Raw genomic sequence first — 18,714 nt, 5'->3', positions numbered from 1 at the left:
TAATTCATTCTGGGCAATGACTCGTGTTGTGCATCATATCCAGAATAACGAGCGTGTAAAGACCAGGCAGGACTCGCCAGTCTTTTTTTCAGTAACACCTACGTTGAGACAATGGGGCTGAAAGAAACAGCCTTGATCACTGAGTTACCAGTGGAAGGGATGACTGCCCCGGAGAAATGCAAACTCTGCATAGCAAACTCTGTATGTGCAAGAAATGAACTTTTATTGGATAAATCAATGGGCTTTGGGGGATTGTACTGCCACTCAGACTAAGCCAGTAGTTCGCAAAGCATGGTCCCAAGATGAGCAGCATCAGCATCAGCATCAGCTAGGGCTTGTGAGAAATGCAAATGATCGGGTTCCATCCCAGACCTGCTGAATCAGAAGCTGTGGGGTAGAGGCCAGCAACTAGCTGAACAAGCCTTCCAGTTAATTCTGACGCACACTCCAATCTTGGGAACCGCCAGCTAGATTATGGTGCCAAGTCAAAGGAAGGGTGTTAGCTTTCCTTGATATGAATGCTACATCAGCAGCCACAAAGAAGGATGGGTTATAGCAAGATAGTCAAATAAAGACAGAATACTTTTTCATAGAACTTAGCTAAGCCATATCTACCTCACATAATATCTGTGTACTTTTATTTTTTTTTTAAGTGAAAAGCTCTGCATTTAAGATCTGCCTTGCAAAATCCCTCCTAGCTTCTCTTCCTATAATTAAGTCATTGATAGAAAGACTGAGGAAAATCTGATCCAAGATGGAAGCTTTCTCTCCAACAAGGCAGTGAGCCATGAGTCAGCTATCCATGCAATATTTCACCCAGGCCCTCCTGCACTACACTGTACAGAACAGTATCAAAACAGACAGAATCTGTCAACAGTTTTGCTGAAACCCAGTTTCTGTCTAGAGGGTTATTCTACCTACCAACTGGTCCCTCTGTAAAGAAAAGGAGATTGATCTGCAATCACATGTTCTTAGTCTTCGCCTAGTTCTTTTGCCCAGTGCTCAGGCAGGAACCAGCTACTTCACCATCTGTTCTCTGAAATGGCTGTGCTCAAGTAAGGTCAGATAGACTTTATCTGAAATCTTCCGAATCTATCCAACCTTCTCCTTTCACACAAGCAGGGTATCTGGCCACAGCTCATTCTCCATGACATGCATATATTTGCAATCTCCTTTCACCCCATGTAAAGATGGAAAATTGGCCCAGTACAATGGCTCACACCTGTAATCCCGACACTTTGGAAGGCCAAGATGAGACGATCACTTGAGCTCAGGAATTCAAGACCAGCCTGGGCATCAGAAGGCATCTCTACCAAAAAATTTTTTTAAATTAGTCAAGCAGGCCAGGCGCAGTGGCTCATGCCTGTAATCCCACTTGAGGTCAGGAGTTCAAGACCAGCCTGGGCAACAGGGTGAAACCCTGTCTCTACTAAAGATACAAAAATTAGCTGGGCGTGGTGGCACGCACCTGTAATCCCAGCTACTTAGGAGGCTGAGGCAGGAGAATCGCTTGAACCTGGGAGGTGGAGGTTGCAGTGAGCCAAGATCGTGCCACTGCACTCCAGTTTGGGTGACAGAGTGAGACCCTATCTCAAAAAAATAAAAAAAGAAGAAAAATCTACTTAGAAGTGGTAAATGTATAACGTCTCTGTATGCAGAACCTTCCATTTTGGTGAGCTGCTTTCTAGCAAAATTTAATTTTAAAAAAATCTATAGTGTTCAGAGAGGAAATACAGTATAGAGAGAAAAACATCTATTATGTATTGTGCTACATGCTTTCATTTTATTTAATTTAAAAAGACTCTTAGGTGGTAAATATTTCCATTTTAGACCTATGCAAACTGAAGCTGACGCTGGAAGATGGTGGTTGTTAATTATTTTTTCACAAAGTCACACTGGTAGTTGTGGTGCCAGAATATATACCCAAGTCTCCCAGGCTCTTCCCAAGTTACAGACACAGTACTGGACCACATCTATCTACATCATGAAGAATCTTGAGGCCGAGTGCACTGGCTCATGCCTATAATCCCAGCACTTTGGGAGGCCGAGGTAGACAGGTCACTTGAGCCCAGGAGTTCAACTGGGTGACACAGTGAAACACCGTCTCTATAAAAACACAAAAATTAGCTGGGTGTGGTGGTACACACCTGTAGTCCTAGCTACTCGGGAGGACTGCTTAAGCCTGGGAGGCGGAGGTTGCAGTGAGCCAAGATTACCCTACTGCACTTTAGCTTGGGCAACAGAGTGAGACCTTGTCAAAAAAAAAAACCAAAAAAAAACAAAAAAAAACAAAAAACAAAAAACTGAAAAGATCTAAGGTTCATTTTGATGGCACCAGAGTTCCGTAATTCAGCACATATGCCTCTGCTTTAGGATATTTCAATTAATAAGTTAAGGTTCCTTGATGTGTAGGAGAACCAGGCAGCAAATGAGAGAATGATTACAATTATCACAGATTGTGTTGTAATTTTCTAGATTTGAACAGGTACATATAACATGTAACTTCTTTTTAATTTTAATACTGGCTCACATAATTACAGAATGTTTGATCTCTAAGAATGACCTCAGATATTATCTCATTCAAAGGATCTTAGTTTGGTTCCTAAAAGGCCTTCTAGAACAACAAAAAAGAAGAGCAGGAGATCCACAACCCACCTAAAATTGTATGTAAAACTCTGTGCATTTGTACATGGATCTGAGGAAAGGCTCACGGCTGGGATGAGATCATCAGGTTAATGTGACACTGACACGCCCGTCCTCCTGATTTTATAGTTGAGAATATAGAGACTACAAAGGTGGTGGGATTTCTGTGGTTAGAAAGCTAGTTAGGTACCTGAACCTAGACTGCAACTTGTGTGTATCTGTGACTAACACAAAGCCCCTTCCCATATGTGCAAGTAACAATCCAAAGAGAACTGCTTCAATCAGGGACTCCAGAGATACTCTGCAAGGCACAATGCTGTAAACCATAGAAGACTGTAATAATAAAATGGACATACAACTTGCCCTCAAAGACTTTACCATTTACAAGGACAGCTAAAATTTGGCCATAACAAAACAATAATACCAACTTTAGAAAGCACAATAAAAATTAGATAATACATAAGCATTTGAGAAAAAACTTTAAAAAGAGAAATTGGTAAGTTTTTTACTGCTTTCTGTATATAGAATTTGTAACAAGAACTTCTTAAAATGCTGCTGCTTTAACTGTTTTTCTTTTTTAAATAGCTAAAGCAGTAATTCAGCAAATTGTAGGTTTTAAGATGATTACGCCTTTAATAAATATGCACTGAATATCTGTCAATATTTTTTTAAAGTATTTGACTTGATATCAGATTACGACAAATAACTGGAAAAAAGTTAAAAACCACTGAAAGTAGATACTGACAATTCATTTTTTAAAAAGAGCATCAGAGACACAGAAAAGCTACTGAATAACTAGCAGAGCCAGAATTAGGTTTTTGTATTTTTTTTTTTTTTTTTTGACACATTGTCTTGCTCTGTTGCCTAGGCTGGAATGCAGTGGCACAATCTTGGCTCACTGCAACCTCCGCCTCCTGGATTTAAGCAATTCTCGTGCCTCAGCCTCCCAAATAGCTGGGATTACAAGGCACCTGCCACTATGCCCAGCTCATTTTTGTACTTTTAGTAGAGATGGGGTTTCGTCATGTTGGCCAGGGGGGGTCTCGAACTCCTGACCTCAAGTGATCCACCTGCATTGGCCTCCCAAAGTGCTGGGATTACAGGCATGAGCCACCATGCCCGGCCAGTTCTGAATCTTAAAAACAAAGCTACTGAATATCTTTACTCAATAAATTGAACTGTATACAGAATATTTCTTTTTAGTAAAGTTCTTCTGGATGGGAACTGAGAAGGGGAAGAAAGGTCAAAAACAATTAATGAAACCAAAATGGCCATCTAAAATGAGTAGCAGTGAATTCTAATGTTTTGACATAAATTTTTAACTTATGCCAGTTAAATTTACTCCTAACCTGAAATATTTACTCCAAATCTTATCAAAATAATAATCATACTAGAAGCAGTAACACTAAGGTAATGACTGTACTGTGGTTGGCAGAATACGTTTAGATTATTCCCCAAGTTATTTTATTTCTATATATATATATATATATATATATATATGTATTTTAAGTCATAATTATGATACTAAAATCAAGTATACAAAGTTCACTGGTTCAGAACGCTGACATATTTATCCTAATGCATAATATTTCATTGGGTAATCCAATAAATTTGGATCTTTCCAATGACTTCTGGGCTGGTGGAAGTTAAACTGTATTCTCTCCTGAGACCTTTAGCCAAATACAATTTTTGAACCCTTATATGTGTATAGCGTATTTCATATTGATATCTCATCTTAAACCCATAGGAATTAGAGAATACTTATCACTTCATATACAGTTCTCTAGGTATTTACAACACAGGACACTGGAAGATCACTAAATATGTACCCATTTTAAAGAAGAGGAGGTTAAGTCTAAGAGGAGTTAGATGTCTTCCAAATCAGAACTCATTCTTGGTCTATTAATTCAAGAAATACTTTTCAACTAACTGGAGACACAGATTTGGGTGCTATCTGTATATATACTGTACACGAGAAGCAAAGTTATAAGAGTGGTTGAATTTTCCCAAGAGAAAGTTAAATGTTTCTAGGACAGAAACCTGATGGGTGTTCCGGTAATGGTGAGAGAACCCAGGAGAGAGTGGTATTCCACAATAAGGGTAGAAAATGCTTTTAGAAAGAACTGCTAATCATGTGAAACACCGCTGTGGGGTGAGTGGAGGTAAAGACAGGAACACATCCAACGACTTAACAACAAAGGGGTCACCAGAGAACTGGGTTCAGTGATAAGGTGGCAAGCCCAGGGTAAATGGGAAGGAAAGATATAGACAGCAAGGTGCTCGCCTGGTTGTCTGAAGGAAGACGGAGAAAAGACAGCACAGGGGCTTTGAAGTTTGGGTGACTTAAGTATTCTAGGAAAGGAGAAATGAATGGAGATAGATATAAGATGCTTGTAGAGGGGTGTTTGGAAGTGGGTGCTCCAGTGAGACTTGGCATGGTGGAACTCTCACACTCAACACCATTCATTTCACTAGCTTATGAAGATGCTCCTCCCCTCTCCTCACCCACTCATCTCCTTCATTCTCTCAGGAGGCTGAGGGAACAGGATTGAAACTACAATCTAATACGATGTGCCTCATTCCAAAGGCAGGGCCTCAACTCCTTCAAAGCCAATCCTAAAATTATGCTAAGCCAGACATTTCCATTCTGATGAACATCTCCATCAAAACCAAGGGCACATGCGTGCACACACATCCAATTCAGAGTGGGCTCTCTGCTGCAGGTCCAGAGCAAAGGCTTTCAATCAGTGGTACATTTCATCCCACCAACCTTTTTGAAACCATCTCCTCCTCTCATATCCTAGATCTAATCATTATCTCAAATGTAAGATAAAGATAGTTTTTTAAAAAAGGAAAAGAGTTCTGATATGTTACAAGATAGTTACAGAAATCTCACGAAATGAAAGGACTGGACTACCGGATGATGACGAAGGCCAGCTCCTGTTTGACTCTTATGCAATCTGGTAGGGGTGCCAAGTGAAGACTCCCTAGAACCACCACATCAGACTCTGACAGCACCCTGGCAGTGTACTTATACCGTAGATTATTGAAGTATTGCTCCTTAAAAACTACCCAGTATTTACAATGAACACTGTACAATGCTAGTAGGAAAGCCTGAGACTAAGATGATTAAATAAGCAATGTGCCACTAAAGCCAAATATATTCTGTAAGTAACTACTTTTTATATCAAGACACACTGTAGTGAGACCAAATACAATAAAAACATCTTTTTGCAATTTGTGAATATTGTGATCCAGCCATGTTCACAGGCCATTTGGGATAATCACAAAGTAAAACATGTCAGTTTCATGAGCAGCTCAAACAAATAGTACAAATAAATGAGATTACAGAATAGTTCTTAGCACATTTAATAGAGCAAACTGCTCAAAGATGTAGTGTATACTAATTACAAAACAATTTCTATGTACTCTCTATATAGTCTCACTACGGATGACTATTTTGTTCTATTGGCTTAAGTTAAAGCAGTAAGATGACTTTCTTTGAAAACGTCACGTATTTGAACCCACTAATCAATCTCAGTATTAGGATTACAAATGAGACAAGCTGGTAGCTGGTATTATGTTCCTCATGATGAAATACAAAAAGAATACAGCACCTATGACATATTCTTTTGTTGTTTTTTAGTTCTGAGACAGGGCCTCGCTCTATCGCCCAGGGTAGAGTGCAGTGGCATGATCATGGTTCACTGCACCCTGGAACTCCTGGGCTCAAGTAATCCTCCTGCCTCCGCCTCCCAATGTGCTGGGATTATAGGCATGAGCCACCATGCCCAGCTGACAAGGCTTACCTAAAAAATTCAAATCTAATCAATATTCCAGGAATATGAGATAAAGAGGAACAAGTTAAACGGTGTCAAAAAGTATCAAATTCCAGCTGGGCACAGTGGCTCACGCCTGTAATCCAGCACTTTGGGAGGCCAAAGTGGGTGGACTGCCTGAGGCCAGGAGTTCGAGACCAGCCTGGCCAACCTGGTAAAATCCCATCTTTACTAAAAATATTTAAAAATTAGCTGAGCGTGGTGGTGCACATCTGTAATCCCAGCTACTTGGGAGACTGACGCATGAGAATTGCTTGAACCCAGGAGGTAGAGATTGCAGCAAGCCGAGATCATGCCACTGCATTTCAGCCTGGACAACAGAGTGAGACTCTTTCTCAAAAAAAAAAAAAAAAAAAGTAGCAAATTCCATGTTGGTTCCTAGTGTCAACAAGTTAAAAAAAAAAAAGTATCAATTACCTAAATCTAGTAAAGTGAGGGACAACCTATATATAGGACAAACAATCCAATTTTTCTAAGAAATCAACCATACATTAAAAAATAAAATGAAAGGAGGACTACGTAAAATAAAGAATTACACAACAACCAAATGTAATATATGGACTTTTTGGGTCCTGACCATAACAAACCAACTTTGAGACAATCAGGAAATGTGAATACAGCCTAATATTGTATTTAATACAGTATTAGATAATACTGAAAAATAATTTTGCTAATATTATTAGGTCTAATAAGTATTTTTTAAATTCCTTATCAGTTGGAGACATATACTTACTATTTAAAAGAGAAAGGATATACATATGTGACTCAGATTTTTCAGTGACTTGGAGTTACAGAGCTTCTACTGGAAGTTAAAGGATGTGGTTCCTCTTCCCACTACCAAACTCAAGGAAGAATCATGTAAGTCACACAAATGCTACTGGCAATGTTCAACATTTCCACTGTCTTTCTCTGCTCCTTTCTTCCTTAGCTGGCACAAGGATAGAGGTAAATTCAAATGTCTTTAACCTTGGTTTACTATTTTTCTCTTTCCTAAGCTATAAATATGAATGTGATAGGTAACTTACCACATTCATGCACACCAGTCTGGAGGAGTGCATGTGAAGGCAATGACCAGGAAAACTGAAGACTGAAGGATTTGAAAAGGTCTATTTCACAGATAAAGAAGTGAGGCAGAGAGACACCAAGTGATTTTTAAGGTCACAGCACTAATTACTGATAGAGCCAAGCCAAGAGCCCACATCTTGGAAGCTTGCCAGTCCAGTGCCCTCTCTTGCACTCACCCAGAGCAGCTTTCATTCTTTACTGACCTTCCCGTGCTCCTTCCTCACGTGGGATATGTACACATCTCTCTGCATGAACAGGCAGTCACACTCCCAACACGTCCACCCAGGACTGGCCACTTTCTTGGTTTCCATTGATTTTTTCACAGGAGATGGAGATTTCTTTTCCAATTTCTCTTTCCCATTCATGGATTTGGTGTCCTCTTTGTTCTGATTTGCTGAATTTTGAGTTGCAGGCTTAATGCTCAAAGGCAAGTTTATACCCAAGTTTGGAGGCCCTTCAATACTTTTCAATGTTCCATGCATAGACTACATTATAAAAAGAAAAGAAATATCTATCACAAATCACAACACTAAAAGAAAGCACAAGTATGCTATCTTAACATGTGGTACACATTTCAACACCAGTTTATATTCATTCAGAAATATTTAATATATAAAGAAAAAAACCTAAGCTAAATATACATTTCAAAAGAGATAAAAGTCTGCTATACGTTATGCATTTCTCTTTCCAAATGCTTTTTAAAGGCCTATATATTTGTACCATTTTAAAATTCTTTAAAGAAAGACCTCTGTATTGAACACAAATTAATCCTGGTACTTTATCTTCCTGTAACATCCCAGAGGGAGGCCTCTCTACAACAAACCATTTCGGAACAACTCTCTCCTTTCCCATCAGCCTGGAAATGTTTAAATAGGCTAATACATTATTAGGAATTCAACTAGAACAAACTGACTTGAGCAAACATCTAAGATCAATACGTTAGTAAATAGCAAGCCTTTTTCTCTTCATGCCTTTCACATTCTTGGAATACTAGTAACAGTCTGGGTTTTTGCTGGGTTTTGTCAGGAATTTTCATCTCCTTACATCCTATCCCGACCCATCCTTTCTTACTGATGGCAGCCAGGCTTGAGAACTACACACATTAGATACTCATGTCTTTTTAAATTGCTTAGCTAACTATCATCATTAACATAATGGCCACAACAGCCATCTTCAACTTAAACTCACTGGATTTCAAATTTGAAAAGGGCAAAATTAGTGCAATTTGATTCTAAAGACCAGCTCACTTTGGTTTTTGTTTTGTATTGTAAAAGCATGGAATAAAAACAGCGGGGTGGGGTGTATGCAGTGGCTCACGCCTATAATTCCAACACTTCAGGAGGCCAAGGCAGGAGGATCACTTGAAGCCTGGAGTTTGAGACCAGTCTGGGCAACACAGAGAGACCCCATCTCTACAAAAAGATTAATAAATTACTCGGGCATAGTGGTGCATGCCTGAAGTCCCAGTTACTTAGAAGGCTGAGGTAAGAAGATTGCTTGAGCCCAGGAGTTCAAGGTTACAGTGAGCTACAATCACACCACTGCACTCTAGCCTGGGCAACAGAGCAAGACCCTGTCTCAAAAAATAAAAACAAAAACAAAAAAAGAGGGTGGAGGAGAGCAAAAAATAAAATCTTTGCCTCTGTATACAATATACAATTTATTTTTGAATAGGGCCGTCTCTTCTTACTAGCAGTCAGGCTTGCAGTTAAACCATGAATTCCTGAATCTACAGAAAGACAACATTAAAAATCTTTCCTAAGAGGCTTTCACACATCCGAGTTCCCCTGGGTCACAGAGACTCACACTGATAGACCTCAGCTCCACATTCCTTCTTGGATGTTTAAGAAAGAAGCCATTCCTTCAGGACACTCTCCATCACATTTTCTCAAGGCAAGGTCTTCTCTAAACAGTGCCAAGAACTAGCTAACCTTCCTCAACATCATTTTTCACCAGAGGGAAACAGGGGTTCTATCATTTTCTCACCAGCTGAAGTCACAAGGTCTACCCAAACAGGCAACAGTGAAAGTGGCCCATAAAAGGGGGCTGAGGTGGGCCACGCGCAGTGGCTCACGCCTGTAATCCCAGCACTTTGGGAGGCCGAGGCAGGTGGATCACGAGGTCAGGAGATCGAGACCAACCTGGCTAACACGGTGAAACCCCGTCTCTACTAAAAATACAAAAAATTAGCCGTGCATGGTGGCAGGTGCCTGTAGTCCCATCTACTTGGGAGGCAGAGGCAGGAGAATGGCATGAACCCGGGAGGCGGAGCTTGCAGTGAGCAGAGATCTCCCCACTGCACTCCAGCTTGGGCGACGGAGCAAAACTCCATCTCAAAAAAAAAAAAAAAAAAAAACAACAGGGCGAGGGCTGAGGTGATTGTCTAACCATGTTCTTTGCAAAGAGAAAATCTGGAGCAAGACATGATTTCTTGATAGCCAAAAACTATGCCTTGCTTCATGCCCACCACTCAGGGCAGAAGGCTTCTGTGTTTCATTGCTCTTTGTCAAAAGAGAAGCTAAGTTTTTCCATTTTTAACTATTTAAAACCTAAAGAAAACAAAACCTAAAACCCTCTAGCAACTTTTCATAAGTTTCTAGGCAAATGCATTTTTACTAACTGATAAGCTGAAGAAAGGATAAAATATTAAAATATTCTTCTGTAAGATAACCTTAAAGTGCTACAGAAATTACAGAAAAGAAGCAACAAGTTACACTGCAAGTAAAATTAAGACTACTAAGTCCAGGTGCAGTGGCTCAGGCCTGTAAATCCCAGCACTTCAGAAGGCCAAGGCAGGAGAATCACTTGAGCCCAGGAGTTCAAGACCAACCTGGACAACTAGTGAAACCCTGTCTCTACAAAAAATACAAAATACAAAAATCGGCCAGGCGTGGTGGCGCATGCCTGTAGTCTCAGCTATTCGGGGGGCTGAGGTTGGAGGATCACCTGAGCCCAGGACATGGAGGCTGCCTTGAGCCCTGATATGCCACTGTACTCCAACCGGGGCAACAGAGTGAGACCTTATCTCAAAAGAAAAAAAAAAAAGACTCTGAAAAGCAAATGTCAGCTGGGAATGGTGGCTCACACCTATAATTTCAGCGCTCTGGAAGGTCAAGGTGAGAAAACCACTTGAGACCAGAGGTTCAGCCTGGGCAACATGGCAAGACATGCCTCATTCATTCATTCATACTGTCATTTTTAAATAAAGAAACAACTTATTTCTTTTCAAATTGATTTTTCCTTAGCTCCTATAACAATAATTAATTTGAATGAGTGTCTGTAACTCAAAAGTTTAAATATAAATGTCAACATGGAGGTCCTACAAGTTTATATTTTGGTAGGAGAAGAAAATGACACAAATTGGATTAAACTGGGCAAATAAGAGCCCATCTTTAAGTGAATATGTATGTGGAGAAAACTTGTGCCTGTTCCACTTCCTCTTCCTTCCTCATGAAAAACTGCATAGCACAGGCAATGTAAATAAATAACAAGAGCTAAATAGATTATCTTAAAAATTAAAAAAAAAACAGTATGCCCCTAAAACTATGCTTACCCAACCCCAAACATATAAATGCAGGATAATATTTTTAAACGCATAGAACATACATGAAATGAGAACATAAGTGATTATTCCCACTGTTTTCGTATCATGTAGTCTTGCATAGGTTAAGATGAATAACAATTCTTTCCTCCTTGTGGCCACAGGATTTTACCACCCCTCTTCAGTTTCTATTTCTTGGAACCTTGTATTCCTCCAAATTCACTATTAACACAAGGAAGACCCTAACCACAAAGTCGATGACCCGACTTCCAGATGCAAAGATGAGTTCTAGAAACCAAATACCTTAAAAGCCTCTTAAGAAGCAACTGTTCTTTTCTTTGTTGTTGGCACACATGTAGTATGTTAAAATATTTTGGTTTAATTCCAACATCCCTAAATTTTTATTAGCAGTTTTAAATTCTTCCTGGTGTTTCATTAAATAGATATTTATTGTCAAAATAATTATGTAATTTTAGCTAAAATAGTTAAAGTATCTTAAGAGGGTTTTACTGTACTTCAAATGAGAATGATGAAATGCATCTCCCATGCTTTTATTCACCCAAGTAATGCCATCACCACCACTATCTTTACCTTGCCTGGAAGGAGAGAATCTCCAAGATGTTCATTTGCATTAAGCAATTACTCTATATGAACTCACACATGTTTAATACAGGAAATGTCAAGGATTCATAATCCAGGCACTTAGCTGACATGAGACTAGAATAATTCAGGGACTTTGCGCTTTAAACTGACCTTTTTTGTGTAACTTTTTGTTTGTTTGTTTCTGAGACGGAGTCTTGCTCTGTCGCCCAGGCTGGAGTGCAGTGGCACAATCTCAGCTCACTGAGATCTCTGCCTCCTGAGTTCAAGTGATTCTCCTGCCTCAGCCTCCCAAGTAGCTAGGATTACAGGCATGTACCACCACGCCCAGCTGATTTTTGTATTTTTAGTAGAGACGGGGTTTCACCATGTTGGTCTCAAGTGATCCGCCTACCTTGGCCTCCCAAAGTGCTGGGATTACAGGTGTAAGCCACCGTGCCCAGCCTGTATAATGTATTTTTAAAAGAGCAAAACTAAAAGAAAGAGATTGAGTTCCTGATAATATGGGGTCTCTTGTTTCTCTGTTTAAAAAGTAAGTCATTTTAATCTCTGAAAGCCAATGGATATTATCTCCTAATCACACAAGGAAAAAAAAATGCTTAACATATTACAGTGGACAGTTAAGCAGCTAGAACTAAGCACTGGCCTTAGTAAGCTTAAAAGGCTATAAATAGATTTCTGTGCCCCTTTTGGGGGTTGGAGAGTAAAACAGTCCACACTGGATATTTATTCATTTCATTAACTGAACACCACCAGGTGCCAGGTACCATACTATATCCTAGATATTTAACAGTCCATTTACAATGCAATCTTTACAGAAAAAAAAAAAAGAAACTAAAAGGTTTAGGGGCATTAATTACAATGCAAACCTAACTGCTTAAATAATTTCAAGGGAAAAAACCTTCATTTTTCTAAATATACCAATATTTGTGTGAATTAGCATAATTCCTCAGAGCCCTTGTCTGTTTCTAAGTCTTACAGAATTCTCAAGAAAAGAAAAACTTCGGCCAGGCGCGGTGGCTCATGCCTATAATCCCAGCACTTTGGGAGGACAAGGCAGGCGGATCACCTGAGGTCAGGAGTTCAAGATCAGCCTGGCCAACATGGTGAAACTAAAAATATAAAAATTAGCCGGGTGTGGTGGTACACGCCTGTAATCCCAGCTACTCGGGAGGCTGAGGCAGGAGAATCACTTGAACCTGGGAGGCGGAGGTTGCAGTGAGCTGAGATCGTGCCACTGCATTCTAGCCTGGGAGACAGAGGGAGACTCTGTCTCAAAAAGAAAAAAAAAAAAAAAAGGAAAGGAAAGGAAAACTTCACAGTCATCATTTTCACATATTAAAAAAAACAAAAAACAAAAAACTTAGTACTTTTTTACTCTTTTAAAATCAGGGCAGACATTGGTTCCTTTTCACTAATCTTTAGTAGGCAGATCAGGACTCCTGAATGAAAAGCACCACAGTCAAGTGAACACATGATGACAGCATGTAAGTTGCTCACTGACAACGACCAGCATCCATCCCTTCCCTCGACAGTGAGGCATGCTTTAGAGTCACCTGCAGCTCAGCCTTGATTTATGACCAATGAATGGATCTGCAATTCATTTAAAGTAGAGGATAGATGCACACACACCTTGATATGGTCCATCATAAGTTGCTTCTGTGCATATAAAAGAGAACAGTCTGGACACTTGAAAACAGACACCTTCTGGTTTTCAATGTGTTGGTCAAAGTGGCGATACAGCAAGGTTTGCAGGGTGAACACAGTGTCGCACATGGAACACTTATATATTATTCTAAAATAGAAGAGTGCAGCGAGATCATGTCAGTCAGCCTCTTTAAGTCAAAGGATCTGCTACTTTATAGCTGAAGAACTTGGGAGGCAGAGGCACATTGAGAACACACAAACACAATAAATAGAACAACGATTAGCTCTGAAACAAACTTTTGAAGACAACTGGCATTACTCAACCATAGATCAACCTTAACATTTTCAGTAAAGATGCATTCAGCTACATTTACTTAGAAATCTAAATTAATGACCATTTTACTATTCACAAATCTATAACTGGCACATGTTTGTACAAAGTCTTCATGTTACTTTAACACAGAGCAAAAGCATCCTTTTTTTTTAAAGATTTTTTTTTTTAAGATCAGACAAGGCAATGATGATACCCTAACTTGGAAAAGAATGTTAATCTGATTAATAAACTAAATAGGCCTACTCAACTCCAAAGTTTTCATTTAGAGTCAGTAGCAATTTTACATTTGAATGTCAATATTTCTATACCTGTTCTTAACACAGGAAGCCCTACACCAGTAAACAAATATACAGTAAAATCAAGAAACAGAAAATAAAATCGATACCACTGTTATTTCAACAATGCTTGAATGTTTCTTACGCTTTAAATGACTTAAAATATTCACTTGTCTCCTACAAACTATTTCCATGACTAATATGTTACTAACAAGCAGCCTCCTCAAATGAATTCAGCAGACCTGAACCTTCTGAACATAATCCCTCCTGCCCATCCACACTCTCTACTGAAACGAGGGCACGAGATGTCTTGAGAGGGTAAAGGGCTGCGTCTACCCTGCTGCCGGCCTCTGCCTCCAATGGATGTGTGTTCGGTCATTTGAGAACAGCTCTGATGGCAGCAGGTCACCATTTTTTAGTCACTGCTCTGGGTCACCCTGGCACATAGGAGAGGGCCTATGGGCATCTGTATTTCCTCTGGAGAACTGTGAGAATGGGCACAAAGAATTCTAAGGAGCCGCTTAGGAAAAGGTCAGAGAAAAGCTGACTGGATGTGAGGGTCAGAAATGAAAAGAGAGAAGTTGAGGTTTTACCTGGCATTCCTACGGCAAAGTTGAAGAACGGAATGCCTCCTAAAACCACCTGCCTTCCCTCTCTCAGGGCCCTGAGAGAGGACTTCCCATGTAGCTTCAAACCTCACTGTGCAATTCTCTGTCCAAAGTTACAGATGTAACTTTTTTCTCTTTTTCCCCGTAAGATTTATAAGTTTAACTGGATTGGCCTGTTTTTACAAGGTCTTGAGATGTTAGTTACTTTACTGCAGAGCACAAGTACCCTTGGGGGAGGGGGTGTTGAGAAGCAGACAAGGTTTTCGGGGCCGTACAATGCAGCACAATGTTGTATACTAATCATTTGTCATCATTAACCGTAGCAGGTGTGACAAAGATGTTCACTTCCTCCCTGTTTGAAACTGCTTAGTGTTGTGAACGGCCCAAATGTCCAAGAGTATAAATAAGTGGTTAAATAGAAAACTAGGCCAGCATGGTGGCTCATGCCTGTAATCCCAGCACTTTGGGAAGCTGAGGCAGGTGGATTGCCTGAGCTCAGGGGTTTGAGACTAGCTTGGGCAACAGGGCGAAACCCTATCTCTACTAAAAATACAAAAAATTAGCTGGGTGTGGGAGCTACAGGTGGCTGAGGCACAAGAATCGCTTGGGCCCAGGAGGCAGAGGTTGCAGTGAGCTGAGATCACGCCACTGTACGCCAGCCTGGGCAACAGAGCAAGACTGTGTCTCAAAAAAAAAAAAAAAAAAACTATATGAAGATTTTTTAAAATGATGTCACAGACCTATACCAATGGCATGGAAAGATTTTCATGCAAATTAAAACAGAAGATAACAAGATAGAATGTATGGTATGATCACATTTTTTAAAGGGCATAGAAAAGAAAGAGAAGGCATAGGATTGTCAGCATCTCTGCTGGATGATAGTATATGTATTTTTATTGCTTTGTTTGTCTCTACTTCCTGTTTTTTCTGTAATTGGCATAGGACAATTGTTTTAAAAAGGATAGACTTGGCCGGGCGCAGTGGCTCACATCTGTAATCCCAGAATTTTGGGAGGCCGAGGCAGGCGGATCACAAGGTCAGGAGATTGAGACCAACCTGGCCAACATGGTCAAACCCCGTCTCTACTAAAATACAAAAAAGAATTAGCAGGGCATGGTGGCGTGCACCTGTAGTCCCAGCTACTTGGCAGGCTGAGGCAGGGGAATCGCTTGAACCCAGGAGGCAGAGGTTACAGTGAGCTGAGACCACGCTGCTGCACTCTAGCCTGGTGACAGAGGGAGACTCCGTCTCAAAAAAAAAAAAAAATAAATAAATAAATAAGGATAGCCTCAAGAAAAGAACTGAGATTTACTAGCTAGGCTAAGAAATTGCTGAGAACTCAATTTTCACATTTTGAGAAATCACTATTTCACAGCTATGCCACAGCTCATTTTGTTCATGCTACATTCCTTTGGGGAGGGATTCTGTTGTTTGGACGTGCTGTCTTAACAACAGGAAGTGTAAAACAGGAGACCATCTATTTACGTAGCTATCATTCTGAGGAGGCTGAGCAGGTTGTTGGTGTAATATTAGAATCCCTCCCCACAAAATACTAACAGATATAAAAGGGAAAATGGTGACTTTATAATGGAGAAACTGCCTCGCCTCGATGATGAAGGGTGGCATCACCACTACCTTGTAAGACAGGTGGATGTCGCCCTTGCCCCCAGAGTGATCCTTTGAGAAAAGCATGGCATCACGGCCCAGGCATTGCCACCAAGAGCACATGCCTGAGTCCAGCAATGACAGTGCAGTGACAGACCAAGTGAGGGTCAGCCACAGGAGAGGCCTGGGTCCCCTTTTGGACGGCCAAAGACATGAGAACAGGGGACACTGAGCAACTGCTTCAGACGGAAGGACACTGATAAGGCAGCACAAGTAAATCCAAAATGTACACCCAGATAAGATCTCGGACCAGAGAGGAGAAAGACACGCATAACAACTGGGAGGAATCTGGATGAAGTCAATGAATTGGATGGTATTGTAATCAACAATGACTTCCTGACTGGGGGGCTGCACGGAGGTTACTTACACAAGTTCCTTTTGTGGAAGAGAGCAGAACACACCAAAGCATTTACATCATGGTCCCCCTTTCCTCCTAAATACAAAGCAGGGAGGGAGACAGACCAATGACTGCAACGCTAACAACCGAGGAATCTGGGGGAAAAAGATGCAAAGATGCATGCGTTCTCTCCATGTTCTTCCAGCTTTTTTGTAGGATAAAATCCATTACAAACTGCAGCTGATTTTTTTTTTAAAGTCCAAATACGACAAACCTCACAGACATGTCTTTTAGGAGCAGAATCTGAGGATGGAGCAAACTCTCCAATGAAAATGGAAAATCCCCAGGGAGACCGGCTACCAGGCAGAGAGGAGGGGCAGCATTCAAGATGGAGAGACCACTCTGCACAAAGGCAGGGGTCTACTGGGCACCGTGTGCTAGGAAACAGTGAGAACCCCAGTGTAGCTGGACTCCCAGGGGTGTGGGAGTGGCCAGAGAGGGTGCTTTAGAGTTGTGCAGGGCTTTGAAAGCCAAACCTGGAAGTCTGGACCTAATCCTAAATGCAAGATCGGATGAGTAGCAGGGTGACTACACCACAACAAAGCCAGTACGGGAAGGAGAAGAAGGAAGAGAGAGAGGAGGAGAGGGGGAGCGGGAAAGGAAGGAGAAAGAGAAAAGAATAAAAAGCTAAAACCAAATACCCATACTCAGGTCAAATTTACAGCAACAAACTCTCCAGAATACTTCAAACAGGTGTCACAACAAATAAATAAAAGACTCCAAGCTTTGAAATTGCTGCCATAAACCTCCTACATTACCATCAACTGAATCCAACTAGGGGCAAAGCACCACCCTCCGCGTCATACACCTAATCCCCACAGCCACAGTGAGGTAGATGACACTGCTGCCATTTCACAGATGGGACACCAGGACTTAGCAGACTAGATAATCTGCTTGGTGTTAAACAGATTCTAGGGCTAAAGTTCAAATTCAGCTTCCTCTGACTCCATACTCCTCTCTCATGCTGCTATTCTAATTTTGCGTGTTTTACTTCTCAGGAACATGTTCAAAAACTCTTGTCTCTTATACAATTCTTATTTTGAAGTTCTCATTTCTCCACTTACATACATTTAGAAATTGCAAATAAAAGGAAGGCACAGCAAAAGAAACTGCTGTTAATCAGCAGTCAAGGAAAAAATAGAAGCAGACACAAAACTTCATTACCATAAGATATAGGCCAGGCATGGTGGCTCACACCTATAATCCCAGCAATCTGGGAGGCTGAGGCAGGCGGATCACAAGGTAAAGAGATCGAGACCCTCCTGGCCAACATGGAGAAACCTCATCTCTACTAAAAATACAAAAATTAGCTGGACATGGTGGCGCGTGCCTGTAATTCCAGCTACTCAGGAGGCTGAGGCAGGAGAATCGCTTGAACCAGGGAGTTGGAGGTTGCAGTGAGCCAAGATTGCGCCACTGCACTACAGCCTGGCAACAGAGCGAGACTCCATCTCAAAAAAAGGAAAAAAAAAAAAAGGCTGGGCGCGGTGGCTTATGCCTGTAATCCCAGCACTTTGGGAAGCCGAGGTGGGTGGATCACGAGGTCAGGAAATCAAAACCATCCTGGCTAACATGGTGAAACCCCGGCTCTACTAAAAATACAAAAAAATTAGCCAGGCGTGATGGTGGGCGCCTGTAGTCCCAGGTACTCAGGAGGCTGAGGCAGAAGAATGGCGAGAACCCGGGAGGCGGAGGTTGCAGTGAGCAGAGATCGCGCCACTGCACTCCAGCCTGGGTGACAGAGCGAGACTCCATCTCAAAAAAAAAAAAAAAAAAAGATATAGTAATGGACAGTCAAAATGATCTCAAATTATCCAGAAAAGATTAAGGGGTACTCAGAGTTTCCTTTTAAACAGCAGGGTACTATGCCTGCCCACACACTGGAAAACAAGAAACAAAGTGCTTACAACAGTACCCAGCACAGAGTAAATGCAGTAAATTAAACAACAATCGTGTGCCATGCTTTTTGAACTGGGATGCTGGGTATTTTTTCATACATCCATATGTTCTCTAAGAAAAACGGGTGAGAGGTTATTTTAACACTGATCATTTAAAAAAGTAATGCAAATCATTTGCATACATTTATGTTATTTGTATAAC

The 18,714-nt window shown here is 40.9% G+C and overlaps 1 protein-coding gene across 59 annotated transcripts in view; it reads right to left on the bottom strand.

Moving 5' to 3' along the window:
• The window catches only part of ZNF532 (zinc finger protein 532), a 123,557-nt gene that overhangs the window by 24,931 nt on the left and 79,912 nt on the right, over positions 1-18,714 (bottom strand). For 42 of the 59 annotated variants that reach the window (NR_148460.2, XM_047437584.1, XM_047437592.1 and 39 more), the window contains 2 exons: positions 13,321-13,483; positions 7,751-8,032 (listed from right to left, as the gene is read on the bottom strand). The exons of 7 other annotated variants lie outside the window; for them this stretch is intronic. Coding sequence is in view for 50 of the 52 variants with exons in the window: in XM_047437584.1 (XP_047293540.1) it covers positions 7,751-8,032; positions 13,321-13,483 (445 nt within the window). In the remaining 2 variants the exon portion in view is untranslated. Of the gene's footprint in view, positions 1-7,215; positions 7,325-7,507; positions 8,033-13,320; positions 13,484-18,714 lie in introns of those variants that run through there. 10 more of the 59 variants (XM_047437603.1, NM_001353535.2, NM_001353536.2 and 7 more) reach the window with 5 other exon arrangements.

This window comes from Homo sapiens, chromosome 18 (genome assembly GCF_000001405.40).
Source record: "Homo sapiens chromosome 18, GRCh38.p14 Primary Assembly".
In the NCBI taxonomy this organism is placed as follows: domain Eukaryota; kingdom Metazoa; phylum Chordata; class Mammalia; order Primates; family Hominidae; genus Homo; species Homo sapiens.
Note: the sequence above shows the minus strand (reverse complement) of the source record. Positions and strands in the feature narration are given on the sequence as shown.